The sequence below is a fragment of the Homo sapiens genome, chromosome 15 (assembly GCF_000001405.40).
Source record: "Homo sapiens chromosome 15, GRCh38.p14 Primary Assembly".
Classification (NCBI taxonomy): Eukaryota; Metazoa; Chordata; class Mammalia; order Primates; family Hominidae; genus Homo; species Homo sapiens.
The window spans coordinates 45,610,524-45,636,653 of NC_000015.10; the positions used below are offsets into that span (position 1 = coordinate 45,610,524).

General features: G+C 43.6%; 1 protein-coding gene across 2 annotated transcripts in view, besides 5 other annotated features; it reads left to right on the top strand.

Moving 5' to 3' along the window:
• Nucleotides 4,029-4,148: an enhancer, noted in NCBI's record as "active region_9364". NCBI's record gives its function as "activates an Ori minimal core promoter by ATAC-STARR-seq in GM12878 lymphoblastoid cells {active_cell/tissue: GM12878}" and the evidence as "EXISTENCE:reporter gene assay evidence [ECO:0000049][PMID:35858748]".
• Nucleotides 20,625-26,130, top strand: part of SQOR (sulfide quinone oxidoreductase) — a 60,134-nt gene continuing 54,628 nt past the window's right edge. Inside the window, exons 1-2 of one of the 2 annotated variants that reach the window (NM_001271213.2) lie at nt 20,625-20,707; nt 21,404-21,496. The gene's annotated coding sequence lies outside the window, so the exon portion shown is untranslated. Of the gene's footprint in view, nt 20,708-21,403; nt 21,497-24,505; nt 24,586-26,130 lie in introns of those variants that run through there. The other variant, NM_021199.4, reaches the window with a different exon arrangement.
• Nucleotides 23,650-24,645: an enhancer, noted in NCBI's record as "H3K4me1 hESC enhancer chr15:45926371-45927366 (GRCh37/hg19 assembly coordinates)". NCBI's record gives its function as "activates a minimal SCP1, AML or CMV promoter by ChIP-STARR-seq in primed H9 embryonic stem cells {active_cell/tissue: H9 hESC(primed)}" and the evidence as "EXISTENCE:reporter gene assay evidence [ECO:0000049][PMID:30033119]".
• Nucleotides 24,458-24,627: a silencer, noted in NCBI's record as "silent region_6411". NCBI's record gives its function as "represses an Ori minimal core promoter by ATAC-STARR-seq in GM12878 lymphoblastoid cells {active_cell/tissue: GM12878}" and the evidence as "EXISTENCE:reporter gene assay evidence [ECO:0000049][PMID:35858748]".
• Nucleotides 25,108-25,197: an enhancer, noted in NCBI's record as "active region_9365". NCBI's record gives its function as "activates an Ori minimal core promoter by ATAC-STARR-seq in GM12878 lymphoblastoid cells {active_cell/tissue: GM12878}" and the evidence as "EXISTENCE:reporter gene assay evidence [ECO:0000049][PMID:35858748]".
• Nucleotides 25,228-25,277: an enhancer, noted in NCBI's record as "active region_9366". NCBI's record gives its function as "activates an Ori minimal core promoter by ATAC-STARR-seq in GM12878 lymphoblastoid cells {active_cell/tissue: GM12878}" and the evidence as "EXISTENCE:reporter gene assay evidence [ECO:0000049][PMID:35858748]".

Sequence of the window (26,130 nt, forward strand, 5' to 3'; positions counted from 1 at the left end):
ATAATACCCACTGTTAGTAGTTTGGTAGAAAGTGCTTCAAAAGGATCCCTGCATGTACGACTTACAAAAAATGAAAATTTCCAACTGATAGTATATTTTAGGTCAGATTTTTAAGTTTTTTTTTTAAGGCTATTTTATTAAAAAAAAAAAAGTGGGCTCTGCGAACAGGGTTAGTCCATTCAGGCCTTCAATCCTGGTGGTGATTTTGTCCTTTTCAATGATGTGGACAATAACTCCCATGTCTGACACTGCATCCTGGTCCGCAGCATCCAGCATGGCTTGAGAGATGCTTTTTTTTTTTTTTTTTGAGACGGAGTCTCGCTTTGTCTCCCAGGCTGGAGTCCAGTGGCGCGATCTCGGCTCACTGCAAGCTCCACCTCCCGGGTTCACGCCATTCTCCTGCCTCAGCCTCCCTAGTAGCAGGGACTACAGGCACCCACCACCATGCCTCGCTAATTTTTTGTATTTTTAGTAGAGACGGGTTTCACCGTGTTAGCCAGGATGGTCTTGATCTCCTGACCTTTTGATCTGCCTGCCTCGGCCTCCCAAAGTGCTGGGGTTACAAGTTTATTCCTACTGTTTTACCTCAGTTTGTATGTATGAGGTCAGATTCCATTTAGTCTTCAGGTTAGCATTTGAGTGAGACTAGGTTTATTTTCAAAACCTGTAGGAGAATGAAGTGAGTAGTCAAGAGAGACAGTTCTAATGACTGCAATTTGAAAAGCACTTAAAGCAAAAATTCCAAAGAAACACACTGTAAAAGAAGGGCAATCAAAGAGAAGGTGGGTAAAATTTGGGATGGGATGGGGGTGGTGATTGAGAAAGAGAAAAGAACAGGCCTAGACCAACGTGGAAGGTCAAGGTAATTTATGCTTCATGTACGTACCCTGAATAAGGGAGGCTTATTCTGTAAAGAATAAACAATCCACCTATTTTTCTGTAAAGAATAAACAGAATCCACCTGTTTTTGGTTAAAAGTAACAAAAAGTCGCCCCCTACTGTCACTTTATTGTAAACGGAGGAAAAGTTTGTAGCTGTTCATTCTGGTTTAGACCATAAATATATTCCTAATGAGCTCTAGGAAGCCTGCAATGTTCAAATCCTGATAAGGATGGGCTGAAAATCACTCTGAGAATGATTTTCACTCTTATTTTTAGGCCTGACTTTTATTAGTCCATTAGAAGAGAGAGTTAAAAAGTACAAGGGAATACAGGCCTGGCGCGGTGGCTCATGCCTATAATCCCAGCACTTTGGGAGGCCGAGGCAGGTGGATCAGAAGGTCAGGAGTTCGAGACCAGCCTGGCCAACATGGTGAAACCCCGTCTCTACTAAAGATACAAAAAAGTGGCCAGGTGTGGTAGGGCGTGCCTGTAATCCCAGCTACTTGGGAGGCTGAGGCAGGAGAATCGCTTGAACCTGGGAGGCGGAGGTTGCAGTGAGCCAAGATCGCCCCATTGCACTCCAGCCTGGGTGACAGGGTGAGACTCCGTCTCAAAAAAAAAGACGAGGGAATACTAAGAAACAAAAATATGTCTATAAACCTGAAGGTTCCTAGGCTCCCCTTTGATTATAACATTTAAAATTTTAAAGCACATAGGGCCTTAGTAATATAGTGTTTAGGATTATGAACTCAAGTCAGATTGAAACCGGGCATGATGACTCACACCTATAATCCCAGCACTTTTGGAAGCTGAAGCAGGAGGATCACTTGAGCTCAGGAGTTCGAGACCAGCCTGGGCAACATAGTGAGACCCCCCCCCCCATCTCTGCCAAAAAAAAAAAAAGAAGAAAAGAAAAAATTAGACAGGTGTGGTGGCACATGCCTGTAGTTCCAGTTACTTGGGAGGCTGAGGTGGGTGGATCACTTGAACCCAGGAGGTCAAGGCAGTGAGCCATGATCCCACCACTGCACTCCAGCCTGGTGATAGAACATGACCCTGTCCCTAAATAAATAAATAAATAAAGTCAGACTGCTTTGGTTCATGTTCCTGCTTGATTTGGGGCATTAGACAAATTGCTTAAATTCTGTGTTCCTAAGTTTCTAAAATCGTGAAGTTAGGATTCTAAGAGCTTGTAACTTGATAAGGATGTAAAGTTTCATGATATCTATATAAAAGCCCTTATTAACAAAATAGTAAGAGCTCAAATGTTGGATATTATATCTTAGTACCTCGAAGTCACATATCTACATGGGGGACTACTTATTTTGCCACCTTTTGCACATCTATTTTTGCTCATCGGGTTTCCACTGCCTCTAATGTCTGCCTGTTGGAGACCTGTTTATTCTTTGCAAGTCAAATGGCACCTCTTTACAGTTTTTCTCACTGCCACCCAAAGAATTTATTTTTCTGTGTTCCCACAGTATTTTCATAATACATTGTCTTAACACAGTATTAGTTATGTGTTCATGTGTTTTTCAGATGCGTTCTGGGTATATGACTGAAGTGAGTCATAGGAAGCAGTGAACTGCTGCTGCCTGGAACCTCCCCCTACCCCATTCCCTGCAGTCCCACCCTCTGCCCAGCATGCTTAGGAACATTCATTGTAGGGAACCCAAACAATCCCTGTAAGTAGGAATTAAAGAGATAGAAGGTAACTAGAGTAAATAGATTAAGAAAGCAACCAGATGGCTTAACATGTCATCAGAGACTTTCTGTGCACTTTCATTTTCATGGTATGAAAGGTTAGGTGTATATTGCAAGTTCTGAGATGTACCTTGTCTTGCTGCTGCCCAAGACTGCCTTCTATGTAAGTTCCCCCTGAATAAATTTTTGGCTACCTACCAACCTGGAGTGGTCTACCTCTTCCTTTGGTCTGAGCTTGCCCTCCACTTATGGAGGCAATTATTGGTTCCAGTAGGGAGTTTTCCTAACATGAGATCAAAGATATTTCTTTCCTTTTCTTTTTTTTTTTGCCGGAGTCTTGCTCTGTTGCCAGGCTGGAGTGCAGTGGCTCGATCTCGGCTCACTGCAACCTCTGCCTCCCGGGTTCAAGCGATTCTCCTGCCTCAGCCTCCCAAGTAGCTGGGATTACAGGTGCGCGGCCCAAGATATTTCTTAATTATCTTTGTATTCCATGGTGCGGTGCCTGGTCTATAGCTTATTGTGAGGGCTGGCAAGTCTGAAATTTGTAGGGCAGGCCAACAGCTGAAAACCCAGGGAGGAGTCGATGTTGTAGTTTGAGTCCAAAGGCGGTCTGGAGGCAGAATTTCCTCTTCCCTGGGGATCTCAGTCTTTTTCTCTTAAAGCCTTCAACTGCTTGGATGAGGCCCCCACTATTATGGAGGACAATCTCCTTTAAGTCTACTGAATTAAATTTAATCTCATTTAAAAATACTTTCACAGCAACGTCTAGACTGGTGGTTGGCCAGATACTGGGCACCATGGCCTACCCAAATTCCCACATAAAATTAACATTCATAGTTGGTTTTCAGTATGTATTTTGGGCTTGAATTGAATCTTGTAGGAAAGAGATATACATATATTTTTAAAAGTTATAACGAAAAACTGGATTACATAAATGACAAATAAAGAATGTTACAATTAAAAAATTGAATTTCTGCAATTCAGACATGGCTAAGGAGCTTGTAATCCTTGGATAATACAAGCCACTGCTTCCATGCCTAATTATGTATTTAATTATACTAAAAAATAATGATAACAGGTCCTGAGATTTTAGAAATCAAATGAGCTCAGAGATAATGAGTGAACTGGAGGATAAAAAAATAGATGCCATGTCTATTTAGATTTATATATTCTCCATCAACTAGGGGCTGCTCAGTTCTCTTAAAAATAGCTTCAGGAAAGAGGTGGGCCAATTGAGAGCAGGCTCAACAGATAATCTGGCTCTCAGACTTTTTAACAGTACAAGGCACAAAAGGGATAATGCTGCCATCTTGTGGTATTGTTCTCCCAGTTCTACAAATTCTAGTATTGTCTCAATTGGTCTGATGAAGTTTGGCCGGCCTAGGCCTTTTTTCTTTTTTGAGATAGTCTTGCTCTGTTGCTCACACTAGAGTGCAGTGGCGCGATCTCGGCTCACTGCAACCTCTTTCTCCGGGTTCAAGCGACTCTTGTGCCTCAGCCTCCAAAGCAGCTGGGACTACAGGCACCCACCACCACCCCTGGCTAATTTTTTGTATTTTCAGTAGAGATGGGGTTTTGCCACGTTGGCCAGGCTGGTCTCGAACTCCTGGCCTCGGCCTCCCAAAGTGCTGGCATTACAGGTGGGAGCCACTGCTCCTGGCTGGCCTAAGCCTTTTTAACTATAACTTTTTAGGCAAATTAGGATTTTCTGTATGGTCTGACCTTTGTTTAAACAGTGAGATGCTTGAAAGCAATCTATCTGAAACATTTTATAGGATTTAAGATATTTTCTAACTTCTTGAGTCTCCCAGTTTGATGTTAGGCTTGAGGTTTTGATCAATTAATGATCAATTCATCTGTCATCTATTAACAGCCATGCTCAGAATCGTCATTTAAGAAAAACATTCCAGTCCAAAGATCTTGCTGGGATCTTTGGGATCCCATGTGTTTCCATGCTTTTATTCATCTGAGCCTACAATGTCAGGCCTTAACTGATTGGATATGGGGTGGACACCTGGCCCAAGAGTAGCCAACCCACGGGCTAGTCAGTGATGAATTGGCCTGGCAGGAGAAACTCTGCCTAGATGGAGACTGCAGGGAATCTCAATGGCTTAGTCAATTACCATCTGGGGAATATGCACTAGAATAGTCAGAGTCAACCCTTTAGTAATTAAATAAGTGAGAGGGCACACAGATACTGACAGAGTAGATGAGTATTAAGTGGAGATGAGTAGGAGGTTGATGAACTTCTGCTTCTGAAAGGGGACAAAGTAATCAGCTCCCTCAAAATGCCTTGGATCCTGAGCCAATTTGCCTGTATGGGCTCTGTGAGACTTGGGCGCTAGACTTTTCTTGGGTTCTAGGCTAAGGTTCTTGTTTTCCACATTTTCACAAACATTTTTACCATACCGCCCTCCTGTGCCTAACAGATCTCTGTTTATTGCAACTATAAGCATATCACTGTCTTGTAGGTTATTCTAGTAAGTTATATTTTTCAAAATGTTTTAATGTACATTATTTAATTTAATAATAAGGATCCTACTTAGGAGTTTATGTATTTTCCATGTCTGCTAATCCAGGAATTCAAGGACGAAGATATCAATGACCAGCACAGAGATGTAATCTTCCTCTCGGCCACACACCTGGGTGTTTCCCTTATTTTTTTGCTGCGTGTTTCCTTCATGTCGTCCAATTTCTTTTCTTATTCTCATATTTGGCTAGATTTTTAATACCAGATCTATGTCAGCTCCTTCTCAAACCTAAAATTCAGAGCCCCAGCTCTGTTGAGCGTGTATTATATTTCAGTTGCTTTATACATGTTATCTCATAACAGCAACCTTAGGAGGTAACTATTGTTATTACCATTTTACAGGTGAGGAAGCTGAGACGCATTGGGTCTGATAACTGCCCAGGATCACACAGGTGTAGGTGGTGGGGCTGGGATTTGATTTTTGGAAAAAGGTGAATTTTCTTAAGTTGGAGACCCTAGGAGTAGGGATAGAAATTGACCTTAGGAGTTTTACTTTAAATATCTTGATAAAACTATATCCATAATGGGGAATTATGGGGCTACACCAATCTATCTGCTATTTTTCTTTATCCAGTCTGATGATATTGGAAGAACAAAAGTGAAGAAGGCATGAGTTTCTCTGTAAGGAGAGAGCCTAGTGGTGAGGATACACAGAACTGTTATTTTCCTGCAAGGTTGCTTTAATTCTAGACAGCCGGTAAAACTCCACACCTCTAGGGATAGAAATGAGCAACAGTGAGACTAGAACTGGGTGAGATTTGGCTCAGGAGCGTCTCCTTGAGATAACAATGATGCTGATAGAAGGAAGACAAAGCTGCTAGGAGAAATTAACAACTGCGGGATGGTTAGGACATTCCCGTTAAGGCAGGGCTGTTTTGAGACATTTCATCCCCACCACCATCTGGAGAAATCTATCCTTGATTCTGCCTTCCTGGGCCTGCATTTCTGGGTCTGTAGCCTACCACTCAGCTCCATCTATTTTGCACCTTCATAGCTTTGAAGAAAGAGCATAGCTAGTACTAGAAGCGAAATTTTTATCACTGGAGAAAGTTAGTTTCCCTTAGGGATAAATGTACAGACAGGAGGTGATCCCTAAGACTCTTACTGGCATTAACGTACTGTGACATCAATGGCTCTTGCTGCAATTGCAGCTTCCAGGCAAATGCACTCATTGCAGGTGGGTTGTTTTTGGCCTTTAACCACCTCACAGCCTAGGCCTCAAGTGAGGAATCCTAAGATCTGTCAATTCACCCTCTCAGAATGGAGGAACAGGGAATAGACTGCTTCTGAGTCAGGGCAAGTACTTCTTTCCTGTTTGGATTGCAAGTATAATAGCAAGGAGAGAGGAGGTGAGGCACACACGAATCACTTTGTCCCTATGCAGTCTGCCTGGGAGCCGTCTTATTCTACTGACTCAAAAGACACTCCTGAAAGCAGTGCCATCCTGAGCAGCAGCTTGTATTACTTTACAAGTCAGACCTGTTATTAAAGACGCAGACTGGCATTTAAATCAGGCTGTGTCACACCCATCCTGGTCTTTGTTCTGGCTCCTATGGTGGCCAGGAGAATGTGCCTCACACACCTCCAGCCACAGGGAACAAAATGGCCTAAGGGCTCCATTGCTGTACTGAGACCTATCTGCATTTGCACCCAGGCATGCTTCCTATACAGGCTGCTCCTAGCAAATAGTTAAGGCCGGCAGGGATACTAAGACAGGTCTATTCCTGGAAGACATGGGACTTCTCTGACTTTGATTCAAGGACTCCCTGTTAGCCTTGCTGAAGCTCTGCTTGGTAGTTTAATGCTTCTCCCCAACCCTCCTTTACTTCTTCACTCAGGCAGATAGTACAGATAAGAACAAAGAGGCTGAAGGAAGTGGACGTGTTTGAAGGACTATATTATATAAGGCCGGGCCAGGCGCAGCGGCTTACACCTATAATCCCAGCACTTTGAGAGTCTGCGGCTGGTGGACTGCTTGAGCTCAGGAGTTCGAGACCAGCCTGGGCAACACGGTGAATCCCCATCTCTATTTTTGTAATAAGGTATTATATTTATTTTAAAATCGAAAATATAGGCCGGGAGCGGTGGCCCACGCCTGTAATCCCAGCACTTTGGGAGGCTCAGGCGGGTGGATCATGAGCTCAGGAGATCGAGACCATCCTGGCTAACACGGTGAAACCCCGTCTCTACTAAAAAAAAAAAAAAAAAATTAGCCGAGCGGGGTGGTGGGCGCCTGTAGTCCCAGCTACTCGGGAGGCTGAGGCAGGAGAATGGTGTGAACCTGGGAGGCGGAGCTTGCAGTGAGCTGAGATCACGCCACTGCACTCCAGCCTAGGTGACAGAGCGAGACTCCATCTCAAAAAAAAATATATATATATATATATTTAATTAAATATATATTTAAATGTATAATATATTTAATTTAATGTTTAAATATATAATATATTTAATTTAATATATATATAAAATTTAATATTGACCATCAGCGCGGCGTGCAGAACTTCTTAGTGATGGTAACCTTCTCATCAGTGCATTTCGATGGCTGGGAGAGTGGTGTATCTTGTGTGCCTTCTCATAGGACATATTCTCTGGTGGGTCTTTTGGCCATATATATATATTTAATATATATAATATATATATTAAATATATATTATATATATTAAATATATAAAAATATATATATTTTATTAAATATATATATTTTATTAAATATATATATTTATATATATTTATATATATTATATAATATATATTTATATATTTATATATATTTATATATTTATATATATTATATAATATATTATATTAAATATATATTATATATTTTATATTATATATTTAATATATATTAATATATTAATACAAATTATATTATAATAATTGTATATTATTTATATATAATTAATATATATTGAAATATATAAATATATAATAAATATATAATTAAATATATATTAATTATATTAATATATAATATATATTTAATATTTATAATATATAATATATAATATATTTTAATATATAGAATATATAATATATATTAAATATATAGAATATATAATATATATTAAATATATAGAATATATAATATATATTAAATATATAGAATATATATTAAATATATATTCTATATATTTAATATATATTCTATATATTAAATATATATATATGGCCAAAAGACCCACCAGAGAATATGTCCTATGAGAAGGCACACAAGATACACTATTCTCCCAGCCATCGAAATGCACTGATGAGAAGGGCACCATCACTAAGAAGTTCTGCAGGCCGTGCTGATGGTAGGAGTGGCGGTTACAATCTGAGCTTGTCAGCATCTGTGGGCATGATGGGGGCCAGGAGGTGGCACTTAACTGCCAGGAGCCAGGAGGCTTTAATTGCCTTACCCACCAAAAGGCAGGGTTTGAGTGACAATCACTGGGCTTTACCAGCAGGGGGTTGTGGACATGGTTAATGGAGCGTAGTGTCTATTTTGCACTTAGAAGCAAAACAGGCAGGCAGTCAACAAGGATGCTTTTAGCATCTATAACGGGATCAACAAACTGTTCAGGTAAAGGGCTAAATATTTTAGACTTTGCAAGTCATACACTCTTTGTGGCAACTGCTCAGCTCAGCTGTTGTAGCACAAAAGCAACCATAGACGATATGTAAGCAAACGAGTGTCCCGTGTTTTAACAAACCTTTGTTTATGAAAAATAGATGATTGACTAGATCAGGCCATCAATGGCTCCTGGGCCATCATATACTGATCCCTGATCTATTTATTTTTTTAAAGCAAATTGGAGGAGCAAGAGGCTGAGGGCAGTAATTTCAATAAAAATCCGGCTCCCTTGCCCAGTTCCCAGACTTAAGTTAATTTTTAGATCTGGATACATGGACTGGAGAGGTGGTTGAAGGAAGAACCGTGCAACATGATGGCAAACATATACTGTGATGATTCCCCTAGTCTCCTCAAAGGGACCTATGGCCATTTTCTTGGGTGACTATACACTGAAGGGGGAATAATCAGACATTTATAAAGTAATTGGACAGGCCAGGCGCAGTGGGTCATGCCTGTAATCCCAGCACTTTGGGAGGCTGAGGCTGGATCACTTGAGGTCAGGAGTTTGAGACCAGCCTGGCCAATATGGTGAAACCCTGTCTCTACTAAAAATACAAAAATTAGCTGGGCGTGGTGGTGGGCGCCTGTAATCCTGGCTACTTGGGAGGCTGAGGCAGGAGAATCGCTTGAACACAGGAGGCGGAGGTTGCAGCGAGCCGAGATCGTGCTGCTGCACTCCAGCCTGGGCGACAGAGCAAGACTCCCTCCCGCTAAAAAAAAAAAAAAAAACTATTGGACAAAGGGTCTGAGTTGCACTGATACTGAGAGACCCAAAGAAGCATCATAGCCCTGCTGTTAGAGCAGAGTTTAGGAGGACCAACTAAAAAATGGGGTGCTAGATAAAGCCCAGTTTACAATGGGCCCAGGAGGCCTGCAGATCCATTCAGTGGTCACACTACATCTTTTCCCACCACTCACACCTCCAACACCATGGGGGTCTGCTGGCAGAGCTGACTGCACTATGGCTTGGACCTGCTGCAGCACCCTTTCTCGTTCTAGCCCCACTCAAGCCAGAAGCTTTCTGTGTCACCCAGTACATGGGCCAGAAATATATCCCCCAGGGGTGGAATATGTTGTCTCAAGAACACAAAAAGGCCTACAAGGCACTGCCTTCTTTCCTCAAAACAGGGCTAGAAGATACATCAATTTGCCTTTTACTTTAGAACAGGCTATTCCAGAATACTTCCAACCACGAGACCTCCAAATATGTTTCTGAAATGGCCTGTTCTGGACTCTTCACAGGGTTTATCTCCTACGCTCTGAAATGCACGCATCTCATCAAGGCCTCCAGCATACTTGCCCCTCTGGCTGGTCCTGTCTAATGAGCTTTATGTCATCTCAGTGTAATGGATCAATGTGATATGTTCTTGGATGTTTAAGAGGTCCAGATCTCTCAGACTATCTTATAATAGGAGGTGGGATGGGTAATATAACTCTAAGGCAAACTGTAAATTAATATTGTATGGTTTTTCTGCCCACAGAGCCTCAGCCAGCACTTCCATCTGGAAGCTTAGGGAATGCTTGATCCACAGTTGTGGAATCCTGCGTAGCAGAGCATCCAACTAGGGAATCTACTTCAAGTGAAGGAGGTGTGGGAGTGGGTCCTGACCATGGGATTCTCTGGTTGTGTTATGAACTGCACCACCCAGAAGCAACTGGCCTTATAGATTGTTGAGATGGTCTTCTAAAGTAACAACTGAAATGGTAGCTCTGAGAAAGGATGTGAAATAATGAAGTGCCATCTTTCAGGACACGGTGCATTTATTAAATCAGTGACCTCTCTATGGTTCTACTTCCCTAGTAGGAAGGATACAAGGGTCAGGAAACTAAGGGGTGGAAGGAGAAGTGGCCCTACTTACCATCGTTTCCAGTGACCCACTTACTACCATTCCCCAGTGATCCACTGGGGGATTTTCTGCTTTCTTTCTCTGCAACTCTAGGCTCTGCATGATTGGAGGTCCTGATTCTCAAAGGGAACACACTCTTGCCAGGGATATAATAAAGGTGCCACTGAACTATAAGTTGTGGCTGCTGACAGGGTGCTTTGTACTTTTTGTGTTCAGGCACCAGCAGGCAAGAGAGGAGCTGGTATACTAGCAAAAGCACTGAAGTGATCGTTAGGGGGAGGTAAGTTCATTTACAAGATGGGGCAAGGAGGAAGATGTGTGGAACTCGGGTGATTCATTTGGGTACCTCCTGTACTCCCTAGCCCCATTATAACTGTGAATAGATAGACGCGGCAACCTCAGCCTTAGAAGAGTATGATTATCGTGAGTTCAGACCCCTCAGGAATGAAAGTTTGGGTTACACCACCAGGTAAGCCACCAAGACCGGCCAAGGCGATAGCTGAGGGTGAAGGGGATTTAGAATGAATAGTGGAAGAGGGAGAAGGTAAGTACTAATTGTGGTCCTGTGATCAACTGTGGTGATCTTGGGACTGTAATTCATCCAACCAACCCCCTCTGCTCAGTTGCCCCTTAGGAAGGAAGGCCCATGAGGACTATGGAGTAGCTGCTCCTTGCACCTGTGTGGAGAAGTACATCTATACGGCTCAAGGGGTAGATTGTGGTGGCCATTAGAACATGCCTCACAGACCTTCAGCTACAGGGAACCTCATTTTCTGGGCCCCAGTTACTTTGCTCTGAAGTGTACTGCTATGTTTGTACTGAGGATGCTTCCCATGGGCTACTCCTAGCCCAGTGACAGCTCAGCAAGGATACTAGGCAGACCCATTCCTGAGAACAGAGATGGCTACATAATTTGCAAGATCTAGTGCAAAATGAAAATGCAGGCCCCTTGTCAAATATGATGAAAAAATTTAAGATGGCAGCAGCAGAGGATTAAGCCAAGTATTGGCCCTGTGTGACTATACAGGTGACATTCTCATTAAGCTGATTCTGCCTGGAAAATAAGGGATTTCTCTAAGACTGGCTCTGACAGTTTTGCTAAGCCTTCCTTAGAGTACACAGCTGTATACAAAACTTCCACTCAACTTTTCGTCCCTGTCTTGTTCTTTTGAGGTCAGACTTGCATTGTAGGCTGATTGCTATCTCAACCATCTCCCTCTCATTTTCTCCCTAAGAATTTGCTTAAAAATCCTTGTATGTTTAGCTCTGTCTTGATGCCTGCTTCTCAGAGTACATGGATTAACACAGAGCCTTAATTCTGCTATCTTTTCACACTTGTATGTAACAAACCCTCCAACATAAAATCTCTTTTTCCCACCAATAAAAGCAATTTAGGCTTCTTATTTCCTGGATCCCAGCTGGATACTACTTACCCATAAAATGACTTGATTTCAAATGTACAGTGCAGGTCACACAGAGATTAAACTTAATTTGTATCCCATTTTTACCATAGCTTCTCCCCTGATTGACAAGGCTGATTGTATTTTGGACATGGGATTGCGGTAGAGGTTCCCGGGAGAGGAAGAGACATTTGGAAGAAAAAGGTGAGAAATCAGCTGGGCGCGGTGGCTCAAGCCTGTAATCCCAGCACTTTGGGAGGCTGAGGCAGACGTGTCACGACGGGAGTTCGAGATCAGCCTGACCAACATGGAGAATCCCCATCTCTACTAAAAATACAAAATTAGCCGGGCGTGGTGGCACATGCATGTAATCCCAGCTACTTGGGAGGCTGAGGCAGGAGAATCACTTGAACTTGGGAGGTGGAGGTTGTGGTGATCCGAGATCAGGCCATTGCACTCCCAGCCTGGGCAACAAGAGCAAAACTCCATTTAAAAAAAAAAAAGAAAAAAGAAAAAGGTGAGAAATAATTGAGAGAAAAGAGAATTGGAGTAAGAAAGAGGGAGAAAAGTAGATGCAGAAAAGCCTTCAACAAAATTCAACAGCCCTTCATGCTAAAATCTCTCAATAAACTAGGTATTAATGGAATGCATCTCAAAATAATAAGAGCTATTTATGACAAACCCACAGCCAATATCATACTGAATGAGCAAAAACTGGAAGCATTCCCTTTGAAAACTGGCACAAGACAAGGATGCCCTCTCTCACTACTCCTATTCAACAAAGTGTTGGAAGTTCTGGCCAGGGCAATCAGGCAAGAGAAAAAAATAAAGAGTATTCATTTGGGAAAAGAGGAAGTCAAATTTCCATTTGCAGATGACATGATTGTATATTTAGAAAACCCCATCTTCTCAGCCCAAAAATCTCCTTAAGCTGATGAGCAACTTCAGCAAAGTCTCAGGATACAAAATCAATGTGCAAAAATCACAAGTGTTCCTTTACACCAATAACAGACAGAGAGCCAAATCATGAGTGAACTCCCATTCACAATTGCTACAAAGAGAAATATCTAGGAATCCAACTTACAAGGGATATGAAGGACCTCTTCAAGGAGAACTACAAACCACTGCCCAATGAAATAAAGGAGGACACAAACAAATGGAAGAACATTCCGTGCTTATGGATAGGAAGAATCAATATTGTGAAAATGGCCATACTGCCCAAGGTAATTTTTAGATTCAATGCCATCCCCATCAAGCTACCAATGACTTTCTTCACAGAATTGGAAAAAACTACTTTAAAGTTCATATGAAACCAAAAAAGAGCCCGCATTGCCAAGATAATCCTAAGCAAAAAGAACAAAGCTAGAGGCATCACTCTACCTGACTTCAAACTATACTACAAGGCTACAGTAACCAAAACAGCATGGTACTGGTACCAAAACAGATATATAGACCAATGGAACAGGACAGAGGCCTCAGAAATAACACCACACATCTACAACCATCTGATCTTTGACAAACCTGACAAAAACAAGAAATGGGGAAAGGATTCCTTATTTAATAAATGGTGCTGCGAAACCTGGATAGCCACATGTAGAAAGCTGAAACTGGATCCCTTCCTTACACCTTATATGAAAATTAACTCAAGATGGATGAAAGACTTAAATGTTAGACCTAAAACCATAAAAATCCTAGAAGAAAATCTAGGCAATACCATTCAGGACACAGACATGGGCAAGGACTTCACGCACCAAAAGCAATGGCAGCAAAAGCCAAAATAGACAAATGGATCTAATTAAACTAAAGAGCTTCTTCATGGCAAAAGAAACTACCATCAGAGTGAACAGGCAACCTACAGAATGGGAGAAAATTTTTGCAATCTACCCATCTGACAAAAGGCTAATATCCAGAATCTACAAAGAACTTAAACAAATGTACAAGAAAAAAACAAACAACCCCATCAAAAAGTGGGCAAAGGATATGAACAGACTCTTCTCAAAAGAAGACATTTATGCAGCCAACACACATATGAAAAAATGCTCATCATCACTGGTCATCAGAGAAATGCAAATCAAAACCACAATGAGATACTATCTCACGCCAGTTAGAATGATGATCATTAAAAAGTCAGGAAACAACAGATGCTGGAGAGGATGTGGAGAAATAGGAACACTTTTACATTGTTGGTGGGACTGTAAACTAGTTCAACCATTGTGGAAGACAGTGTGGCAATTCCTCAAGGATCTAGAACTAGAAATATGATTTGACCCAGCGATCCCATTACTGGGTATATACCCGAAGGATTATAAATCATGCTACTATAAAGACACATGCACACGTATGTTTATTGTGGCACTATTCACAATAGCAAAGACTTGGAACCAACCTAAATGTCCATCAATGATAGACTAGATTAAGAAAATGTGGCACATACACTTTGGGAGACCAAGGCGGGCGGATCACAAGGTCAGGAGATCAAGACCATCCTGGCTAACATGGTGAAACTCCGTCTCTACTAAAAATACAAAAAGTAGCCGGGCATGGTGGCGGGCACCTGTAGTCCCAGCTACTTGGGAGGCTGAGGCAGGAGAATGGTGTGAACCCGGGAGGCAGAGCTTGCAGTGAGCCGAGATCGTGCCACTGCACTCCAGTCTGGGTGACAGAGTGAGACTCCATCTTTAAAAAAAAATAAAAGAAAGAAAATATGGCACATATACACCATGGAATACAATGCGATCATAAAAAAGGATGAGTTCATGTCCTTTGAAGGCACATGGATGAAGTTGGAAACCATCATTCTAAGCAAACTATCACAAGGACAGAAAACCAAACACCGTATGTTCTCACTCATAGGTGGAAATTGAACAATGAGAACACTTGGACACAGGGCAGGGAATATCACACACTGGGGCCTGTCAGGGGGTGGGGGGCTGTGGGAGGGATAGCATTAGGAGAAATACCTAATGTACATGACAAGTTGATGGGTGCAGCAAACCAACATGGCACATGTGTACCTATGTAACAAACCTGTACATTGTGCACATGTACCCTAGAACTTAAAGTATAAAAAAAAAAAAAAAAGAGGGAGAAAAGTAAAGGGTAGTTGAGAGGAAACAAAGAAGGCTAAAAGGGACATTAATCTATTCACGAGGGATCTGCCCCATGACTCAGACACCTCCCATTAGGCCCCAGGCTCTGCCTCCAACATTGGAGATTTTTTTTGAGATGGAGTCTTACTCAATTGCTCTGGCTGGAGTGCAGTGGCGTGATCTTGGCTCACTGCAACCTCTGTCTCCTGGATTAAAGCAATTCTCCTGCCTCAGCCTCCTAAGTAGCTGGGACCACATGTGTGCACCACCACACCTGGCCAATTTTTGTATTTTAGTAGAGATGGGGTTTCTCCATGTTGACGAGGATGGTCTTGAACTTCCGACCTCAGTTGATCTGCCTGCCTTGGCCTCCCAAAGTGCTGGGATTACAGGCATAAGCCACTGCACCTGGTGGAGATCAACTTTCATTATGAGATTTGGAGAGGAAAATCATCCAAACTATAGCACTACCTTTTAGGCTAATAATTTTAAAAATGTGTTCATCTCTTAAATCATGTAGAAAAAAAATAGTGGAATTAAGACTGTTAAAACAATACTAACCTTTATTATTGCCCATGTATTTACCTTTATTGAGATCTTTATTTCTTCATACAACTTTGAGTTACTGTCTAGTGTTCTTTAATTTCACTCTGAAGAACTCCTTTGAGAATTTCTTACAGGGGAGATCTAGTGGTTACAAACTCTCGTTTTTTTGTTTATCTGGAAATATCTTAATTCCTGTCTCACTTTTAAAGGACAGATCTGCTGGTTATACAATTCTTGGTTGACAGTTTTTTTCTGTTTTAGCACTTTAAATATATTGGCCCATTGCTCTCTGGCCTCCAAAGTTCCTGATGAGAAATCTGATAATCTTATCAAGGATCCCTTGTATGAGACAAATTGCTTCTGTCTTGCTGCTTTCAAGATTCTCTTTTGGTCTTTGTTTTTCAAAATTTTAGTTATAATATGTTTAGTATGGTCTCTTTGAGTTCATCTTTCTTGGAGTTGAGCTTTTTGTATGTTTGTATTTATATATTTTATCACATTTGGAAACTTTTCAGCCATTATATATTCAGATATTATTTCTGTTCCTTTCTCTTTCTCTTCTCCTCTGGAACTCCCACAATGTGTATGTTGATCTGCTTGATGGTGTCCCACAGATGTCTTAGGCTCTGTTCACTTTCCTTCAGTAATTTTTATTTCTGCTCCTCAGACTTAATAATTTCTATTGTCTTCAAGTTCTATTATCTTCAAGTTCACTGATTCTTTTGCTTGCTCAAATCTGCCTTTGAATCCCTCTAGTGAATTTACATTTCAGTTATTGTACTATTTTTTTTTTAATTGAGACAGAATCTCTCTCACTAGTGGGAGGCTAGAGTGCAGTGGCATGATCTCAGCTCATTGCAACTTCCACATCCTAGGTTTAAGTGATTCTCGTGCCTCAGGCTCCTGAGTAGCTGGGATTACAGGCACCACAGCTGGCTAATTTTTGTATTTTTAGTGGAGATGGGGTTTCACCATGTTGGCCAGGCTGGTCTTGAACTCCTGGCCTTGAGTGATCTGCCTGACTTGGCCTCCCAAAGTGCTGGGATTACAGGCATGAGCCACTGTGCCTGGTCCAGTTATTGTACTTTTGATCTTCAAAATTTCTTTTTAGATTATTTTTAAGGTTGCTTTTTTCTCTCTGTCTCTCTTTCTCTCTGTCTCTCTTTCTCTCTCTCTTTTTCCTTCTCTCTCTCATTCTTTCTCTCTCTCTTTTTCAACAGGATCTTGCTATGTTTCCCAGGCTGGTCTCAAGTGACCCCCCTGCCTTCTGAGTGGCTGTGACTGCAGGCATTCACCACTGTGCCTGGCTTAGATCTTACATCTATTTTTTGATATTTTCATTTTGTTCATACATTGATTTCTTGATTTTCTCCACATCTTCCTTTTGTTCTTTAAGCATCTTTATAATAATTGTTTTAAAGTGTTTGTCTAGTAGGTCTGCCATCAAGTCTTTTTCAGGGACAGTTCATAATGATTTAGTTTTTCCTTTGAATGGGCCATACTTTTCTATTCTTTTTGTATGCCTTGTGATTTTTGTTGAAAACTGGACATTTAAATCTAATAATGTGTTAACTCTGGAAATCATATTTTTCCCCTTTCCCAGAATTTGCTGTTTATTATTATTATTTTTTATTGTTAATTGTTGTGGGCTGTCTCTGTGCAAAGATCAGCTAAGGTGTCAGCTTAGGGTCTTCTCAGATCTTTCCTAAATCTATGCATTTCTTTGAGAATACACAGTCACTTTCTAATTTTCCCCATATATACAGTTGCTTTTGAGTGTCCTAGTCTTTAATGTCTGGCTATTAAAAGAGAGAAAAAAGAAAAATGAAGAGGTGAGGAAGGGGTACTGGATCTTTAAATCACTTGAAAGTCACTTCAGCTTGAGGGAAAGGAGGTTGCAACGGGGTGGGGGGGCAGGTGCAACAACATGGCCACCTGCCTCTTTGTCTGCATCTTTATGATCAGAAGCTGCAATCAGCAAGCAGAGCACACATCCTCAATATTGTAGCGGCATGCTTTTTGCCCACCCTGGCTCCCACAAGCTATATGTAAGCTGTTCCTGGAACATACAATATTTTTGAGACAAGATCTTGCTTAGTCAACTAGGTTGGAGTGCAATGGTGCCATCATGGCTCACTGTAGCTGTGACCTCCTGGGCTCAAGCACCCCTCCCACCTCAGCCTCTGAAGTAGCTGGGACCATACGCATGCGCCACCAAACCTGGCTACTTTTATTTATTTATTTATTTTTTGGAGACAGAGTCTCACTCTGTTGCCCAGGCTGGAGTGCAGTGGCGCAGTCTTGGCTCGTTGCAGCCTCTACCTCCTGGGTTCTAGTGATGCTCCTGCCTCAGCCTCCTGAATAGCTGGGACTATAGGCGTGTACCACCATGCTCGACTAATTTTTGTATTTTTAGTAGAGATGGGGTTTCTCCATGTTGGCCAGGCTGGTCTCAAACTCCTGATCTCAGGTGATCTGCCTGCCTTGGCCTCCCAAAGTGCTGGGATTACAAGTGTGAACTACTGCATCTGGCCTTGGCTAATATTTTTAAAAATAATTTTTAGAATTTTTGTAGAGATGAGGTCTTGCCATGTTGCCCAGGGTAATCTTGAAAATCGTGAACTCCTGGGCTTAAGTGATCCTCCTGCCTCGGCCTCCCAAAGTGCTAGGATTACAGGCATGGGCTACTGTGCCCAGTCAAAATATGTACTTTATTACTGCAGCTAACTGAGACAAATTAATATATTCTCTTTTAGAGTGATGATGTGCAAACACAAAGATAACTTTTGGTCTCCACAGTCCCACTTGCTCTGAGGTATTCTATGGCCCAAGAGACACAATGTTTATTCTTTTGGCATATCTTTGAGGTAGTTCTTGAAGTAGGAGAAAATATTTTAACTCCTTTTTCTTTCCTTTTTTTTTTTTCTTTTGAGACAGGGTCTGGTTTATAGCCCAGGCTGGAGTGCAGTGGTGTGATCTCGGCTCACTGCAACCTCTGCCTCCTGGACTTAAGCCAGCTCCCACCTCAGCCTCATGAGTAGCTGGAACCACAGGCACATGCCACTATACCTGGCTAATTTTTGCATTTTTTTGTAGAGACAGGGTCTCATTTTGTTGCCCAGGCTGGTCTCAAACTCCTGAGCTCAAGCGATACACCAGCCTTGGCCTCACAAAGTACTGGGATTACAGGCATGAGCCACCACACTTGGCCTTATCTCCATTTTAACGATGACAAAATTCAGGTGTAAAGAATTGCCCCAAACGCGATTTGAGACCAGATTTCTGAGAAAGACTTGATGTTAGATCCAGTACTTTTCTTATGTCCTAGGAGACCTTTCTGGGTAGAGTCTAAGCCTGCCTGAGCCACACCCCTCCCTGCCCTCCCGCACTCTAGTATACATTTATTTAGCAGAACCTTTTGTGGCTCTAGGACTGAGTATTATTATTATTATTATTATTATTGAGACAAAGTCTGGCTCTGTTGCCCCGGCTGGAGTGCAGTGGCACGATCTCGGTTTACTGCAACCTATGCCTCCCAGGTTCAAGTGATTCTCATGCCTCAGCCTCCTGAGTAGCTGGGATTACAGGCATGTGACACCATACCTGGCAATTTTTTTTTTTTTTTTGTATTTTTAGTAGAGGCAGGGTTTCATCATGTTGCTCAGGCTGGTCTTGAACTCCTGACCTCAAGTGATGTGCCTACCTTGGCCTCCAAAAATGCTGGGATTACAGGCATGAACCACTGTGTCCAGCCAATTTTCACTATTATACCACTTTGTTTATATATGTAGAAAAAAGTATATGATAAGAAGATCTTATATTTGTGGAGCCTATAGTAGACATCTTTCTTTCCCCATCTGCTGCTGCCAGTATTCAATCCCCCTTTCCATTTTTTGAAGGAATACCCATCATAATAGTTCTGGCAGAAGTAAGGGGGCCAAGTATATTCTCCCTGCTCTGACAGCTACAATGCTGGCCTTTGACATACAGTTGGTCAATTGGAAACTCCCACTGAGAATTTTCACTCTCACTCTCTTTATATTTGTGTCGTTCATTCTACAGTAATTTGTGATGACATGGGAGCATCCTGGGGGTAGCCAGGCTGTTTCTACTAAAAGAAGGTGGACATTCTGCTTTTTGATTATCCACAGCTGTCCTCATTCCTGTGCACTTCTCCTCCCATCATTACCCATCATTTTAATGGTTCTGTGAATCCCTGAGAGCCTTTTAATGTCCCTTTTCTTCTTTTTCTTTTTTTTGAGACAGAATCTCGCTCTGTTGCCCAGGCTGGAGTGCAGTGGCACGATTTCAGCTCACTGCAACCTCAACCTCTGGGTTCAGGCAGTTCTCTGCCTCAGCCTCCCGAGCAGCTGGGATTACAGGCACCTGCCACTGCACCTGGCTAATTTTTGTATTTTTAGTAGAGACGGGGTTTCACCATCTTGGCCAGGCTGGTGGTGATCTCCTGACCTCGTGATCCACCTGCCTTGGCCTCCCAAAGTGCTGGGATTACAGGCGTGAGCCACTGTGCCCAGCCTAATGTCCCTTTTCTACTTAAGGCATCCAGAGCTGGTTTCTTTCTTGCAACCGATAATGCTGATTGAGATAGAACCTCCATATACATTAGTGCTTCTTGTCTGAAAACAACAACAACTTGACCTTCAATGACACAGATGAGGTTACTCCAGCTACCCTGTAGACTGATGTAGTTTTAGTTATTATTTGATAAGCAGATTAGCTGTGAGGAAAACAGCATGTTTGGGAGGTGTTGGGGCTGTCTTTTAAAAACGAGGCATGAAACCCAAGTATTGCCCTGTAATATGGTTTGGCTGTGTCCCCACCCAAATATCAACTTGAATTGTATCTCCCAGAATTCCTAGGTGTTGTGGGACGGACTCAGGGTGAGGTAATTGAATTATGGGTGCTGGTCTCTCAAGTGCTATTCTCATGATAGTGAGTTAGTCTCACGAGATCTGATGGGTTTATTAGGGGTTTCTGCTTTTGCTTCTTCCTCATTTTCTCTTGCCGCCACCATGTAAGAAGCGCCTTTCGCCTCCCTCCATGATTCTGAGGCCTCCCCAGCCACATGGTACTGTAAGTCCAATTAAACTTCTTTTTCTTCCCAGTCTTGGGTATGTCTTTATCAGCAGTGTGAAAACAAATTAATACAACCTGTTCATCTGCCTATCTGGTTCTGAGACTGCCCTGTGGCTTGGCAGGATGAAACACCATGTGATGCTTGCTCCCTGATGCATAGCAAGAACTCATTCCCAGCTCTCCCACAAGTCTCATTGCTTAGCTGTGAAGCCTTGGCTGGGTTACTGTCCCAGCTAGGGAGGGTTTGCTGGGGAGGCTAGGGTATGAGTTGTTTCTCTAGCTACTCATCCAGGAAGCATTTGCAGCAGGGAAGGGATGAGGGTGGGGCTTGCTGATCGGGCAGGAAAGACAGTACTGGAGGATCAGCCTCTTTGCTCTGATCTTCCTCCTGAGCCTTCCCTTTCTTGTGATAAGGATCCCTTTCACTGTTCCATTCTCTATTTCCACCCATTCCTGTTGCCAGCCCTTCCTGCCCACGTGTCTGCAAATCTTCCCAGAGCCCTGATTTGGATTTATTTTCCTTCTCCCGGATGTTCTTGAATTGGGGTGTGTTCCTCTTAGTGCTAGCTCCTCCTATCACTTCTTCTTCCCATCCTTTAATGATACTTCTTTCAGTTTCCCATATCCCCAAGTGCACTTTCATTCCTCGCAAACTTCACATGGGTAGGAATCAAGTCTGATTTTTTTCAACAGTGTATGCCTAGACAGCGGGCACAGGGCTTGCTGGACACAGAAGGCAAGGACTCAGAGAATATCCACCAGATGAAAGAATGACTGCATGAGTAAGTGAGTCAACTCTCAGTCCCCTTCCTTGTCTGATGGGCAAGTTACAACTTCTGTTCTCCTTTGAAGTATTCTCTTTTGCATTGGAAGGAGGGCTCTTGAGTGAGATAGTAGAATACATACACTGGAGGATCTCAGCATGTGGGATATGCTCAGGACATTTCCCTCCCCCTCCCCTCCCCTCCCTCCCTCCCTCCCTCCCTCCTTCCTTCCTTCCTTTTTTGATGGAGTCTCGCTCTGTTGCCCAGGCTGGAGTGCAGTGGCACGATCTTGGCTCACTGCAACCTCCGCCTGCTGGGTTCAAGCAATTCTCCTGCCTCAGCCTCCCGAGTAGCTGGGACTACAGGCACGTGCCACAATGCCCGGCTAATTTTTTTGTATTTTTAGTAGAGACGGGGTTTCATCATGCTGGCCAGGCTGGTCTCGAACTCCTGACCTCGTGATCTGCCTGCCACAGCCTCCCAAAGTGCTAGGATTACAGGCACGAGCCACCGCACCCAGCCCAGGACATGTTTCTTAACTCTGAATCTGGTTCCACAGCCATCAATCTCAAACCACCCAGCAGGCAGCACATCTCCTGTGACTCCTTCCCGCCTGCATCCTTCCCATTTAAACCAGGGCTTCTTGGCTTGGATGTGGAGGGTGATGGGACTGGGAAGTGGGGTGAAGCATTTTGGAAATATAGGAGGGGACTTTTTATTTGTCATAAATTTGGGAGAGAGTCTATTGGCATTTAGAGAGTGGGAACCAAGGAAGCCAACCTCCCTTGCTATGTGAACAGGGCCATATAACAATGAACTGTCCTGGCCAGTCATGGTGGCCCACTCCTCTAATCCCAGTACCTTGAGAGGCTGAGGCGGGAGGATGGCTTGAGCCCAGGAGTTCAAGACCAGCCTAGGCAATGTAGTGAGATCTCCATCTCTACAAAAAAAAAAAATAAATAAATTTAGAAAAAAATTAGTTGGGCATGGTGGCACATGCCTGTGGTCTCAGTTATTTGGGAGGCTGAGGTAGGAGGACTGTTTAAGCTCCAGAGGTCAAGGCTGCAGGAAGCTGTTATCGCACCATTGCACTCAAACCTGGGTAGCAGAGTGAGACCCTGTCTCAATTAAAAAAAAAAAAACCCAAAAAACCAAAAACCCAATTAACTGTCCAGAGTCCTGCACAATTTCTGGTGTCCTGTGCCTTGCACCAACATTCAAGTATGCAAAAAACCATTTTTTTGGTAAAGTTATTTAGGTTCTAGTTCAGATAATTATAAACATTAAGCATTTTGCATGGTTTTCATACTAAAATTTCCAGGAATGTTTCTATTGGAATAAAGGAAGAAAAGAGTATACTTTGTTTTGTTCAGAGCTTCTTTACCAGAGTTATTTGCCATTTCAAAAAATCATGTTGGCTGGGTGCGATGGCTCACGCCTGTAATCCCAGCACTTTGGGAGGCCAAGGTGGGTGGATCACTTGGTCAGGAGTTCAAGACCAGCCTGGCCAACATGGTGAAACCCTGTCTCTACTAAAAATACAAAAATTAGCCATGGGTGGTGGTGGATGCCTGTAGTCCCAGCTACTCGGGAGGCTGAGGCAGGAGAATCACTTGAATCCGGGAGGTGGACGTTGTAGTGAGCTGAGATCACACCACTGCACTCCAGCCTGGGAGACGGAGTGAGACTTCGCCTCAAAAAAAAAAAAAAAAAAAAGAAGAAGAAGAAAATCATGTCACAGAAGCAATGCTGCAGATGGAATTGAGTTACCAATAAAAGTCTACAGTCTGCGTTTGTATTGTATTGTTCATGATGATTTTGCCATAGATACAGTCAGTCTCTTTGATTAAAGATAGAAAGTATCAGTTGAAAACATTTAAAAAAATAATATTCAAGGCTGGGCATGGTGGCTCACGCCTGTAATCCCAGCACTTTGGGAGGCCCAGGAGGGCAGATCGCTTGAGGCCAGGAGTTTGAGACCAGCTTGGCCAACATGGTGAAACCTCATCTCTACTGAAACATACAAAAATTAGCCGGGCATGGTGGCACACACCTGTAGTCCCAGCTACTCAGGAGGCTGAGACACCAGAATTGGTTGAACCCATGAGGCAGATGTTGCAGTGAGCCGAGATTGCTCTACTCACTGCGCTCCAGCCTGGGCAACACAGTGAGACTCTGTTTCAAAAAACAACAACAACAACTATATATATATATATATATATATATATTCAAAATTCATAAAACCAAATAAGTGTAAAAGAAACTCAAACTTTCAAGGGTTTATTTTTGTTTGTTTTTTTGAAAGCTTCTAGCACTTGCACTTCTCAGGTTATGAGACTTTTGGGACACCCTGTATTTATTGTAAAAAGGGTTACTGAATCTGATATGGTGGAGAACCACTCACTGAGACTTTACATCAACCTGGAAAGAGCCGCCAACTGAAAATGTCCAGTCATGAATATGGGATGGGACACTGTGGAGGCCAGTGGCTGGAAGCCAGCTTACCCCTGCCTGCGCGTTTTGAAGGAAGGGCTCCAGCGCACACCAAAGCTGAACCTCGGTCACCTTCTCTGTGAAATGAGCGCGGGAATACCTGTGTTTCTGGGCAGCTGTGTGAACCCGGTGAGAAGCCCAGGGCACATAGGAGGACCCAGTGGGAACAGCCAGAGCCTCTCTGCACAGCGCCCCGCCTCCGCTTTTGCCTGCCCTGATTACAAAACGCTGTTGGCACCCAGGGGCGGAAGCGTCAGGTGGCCTCGGTGTCCTCCGCCTGTGCGCCCCAGCCTGCGGGGCCGCCCTTCAGGGCGCGCAAGGGGCGAGTCTGTCCAGCCGGCAGCACCCCAGGCCGGATGGACGCTTGTTCCTGGTTCTGTGCCCCGTGAGCGCTCAACGCCCTGGTGTGTTCACTGACCATGGTGCCTGGGCTGCGGCGCCGGGCGGGGCACGGCGGGACTTTTCGGGACCTTTCCTGGGGGGAGCCTCGCTTTCCCCGCCTCCAGCCTCCGCCCGGATGGCAGGCGGGCGGGGCCCCAGTCCAGGCCTTGAGACCCAGAAGGGAGCGAAGGTTTTTGCTGCGCCAACGCAGTGACCGAAGGCTCCGCTCACGCCCGGGTAAGAGGCATCCGCGGCCGATCTTTGGCCCTGGGCCAGCGGAGGGAGACTGGGCGGGGACAGCGACCACCACTGAGGCTGTTTGTTAGCTTAACTCGGTTTCCGCAGCTGGGACTCCGCAGACCCGGTGCGCCGCGCCCCAAACTTTGCTTCCTCAACTCCGGACACCTGCAGCTCTTGCTGCCCTTGTCTGGAACCCGGGTCTTGGGACTCTTGCTTCCTTCTCAGAGTGTCAGAGCCTCAGGGCCGCGGAGAGGCCAACCCGCGAGGGGTGCTTAAAAACCGAAGTATCCGTGGTCTTGGTGTGTGGACGTTTCTGGCGCCTTCCACCTGTTGACTGTCACTCGGCACCGTCCTGGAGCGGGAGTGGGTGCTCGGCGTCCGGGGGCCAGGGATTGACACAGTCATCCACCGACACTGCGCGTGGGACAGAGGGGGCGCTCGAGGGGTCGGCTGCAGCTGAAACCTGAAGGGGAGAGGATTTAGGGCACCTGCTGAACAGGAATTGGTGGAAAGGGAGAAGGGGTCTTCTGGTGGAATCTGGGCTCATTTCCTTTCCTCTTCATCTGTCTCTTTTATTTATCAAAATTCCAACCTGGCTTTTTGCTCAAAGACGCTGAACAGAGCCCCTGGCTTTGCCTGCGCTGCCCATTGCTATAATGCAGGGCTCTGTTCCATTTTTGTGCTGTGCACCCCTTTGGCATTTCTGGGAAGGCTAAAGACTCTCAGAACAATACTTTTTTTTGAGACAGAGTCTTGCTCTGTCGCCCAAGCTGGAGTGCAGTGGCGCGATCTCGGCTCACTGCCACCTCCACCTCCCGGGTTCAAGCGATTCTCCTGCCTCAGCCTGCCGAGTAACTGGGATTACAGGCGCAGCACACCTGGCTAATTTTAGTATTTGTAGTAGAGGCGGGTTTCACCATGTTGCCCAGCTGGTCTCGAACTCCTGGCCTCAAATGATCCGCACACTTCGGCCTTCCAAAGTGCTGGGATTACACGAGTGAGCCACCGCGCTGGACCAGAACAATGCTTTTTTAAAGGTATAAAACAAAAGGAAGAGTATTATAAAGGAAACCAATTGCAAAACACATGTCAAAACATTAAAAGAATTTATGATATGGTAATATATATGTCTTTAAAAAACGAATGCGTTATTTAATAACAAGGTTATTAAATAACAAGATCTAGCAGTGGATTAAATAGTTACCATAATTTTGAAGTAGTAAAGAACATAAACAATTATTTCAAGATATAGGTAATACTTGTAATATAAGAAAATATCTGTAATTTCTTTCTTCTTTTTTTTTTTTTTTTGAGACGGAGTCTCACTCTGTCACCAGGCTGGAGTGCAGTGGCGCGATCTCGGTTCAATGCAACCTCCGCCTGCTGGGTTCAAGTGATTCTCCTGCCTCAGCCTCCCGAGTAGATGGGACTACAGGTGTGTGCCACCACACCCAGCTAATTTTTGTATTTTTAGTAGAGACAGGATTTCACCATATTGTCCAGGATGGTCTCGATCTCTTGACCTTGTGATACGCCCACCTT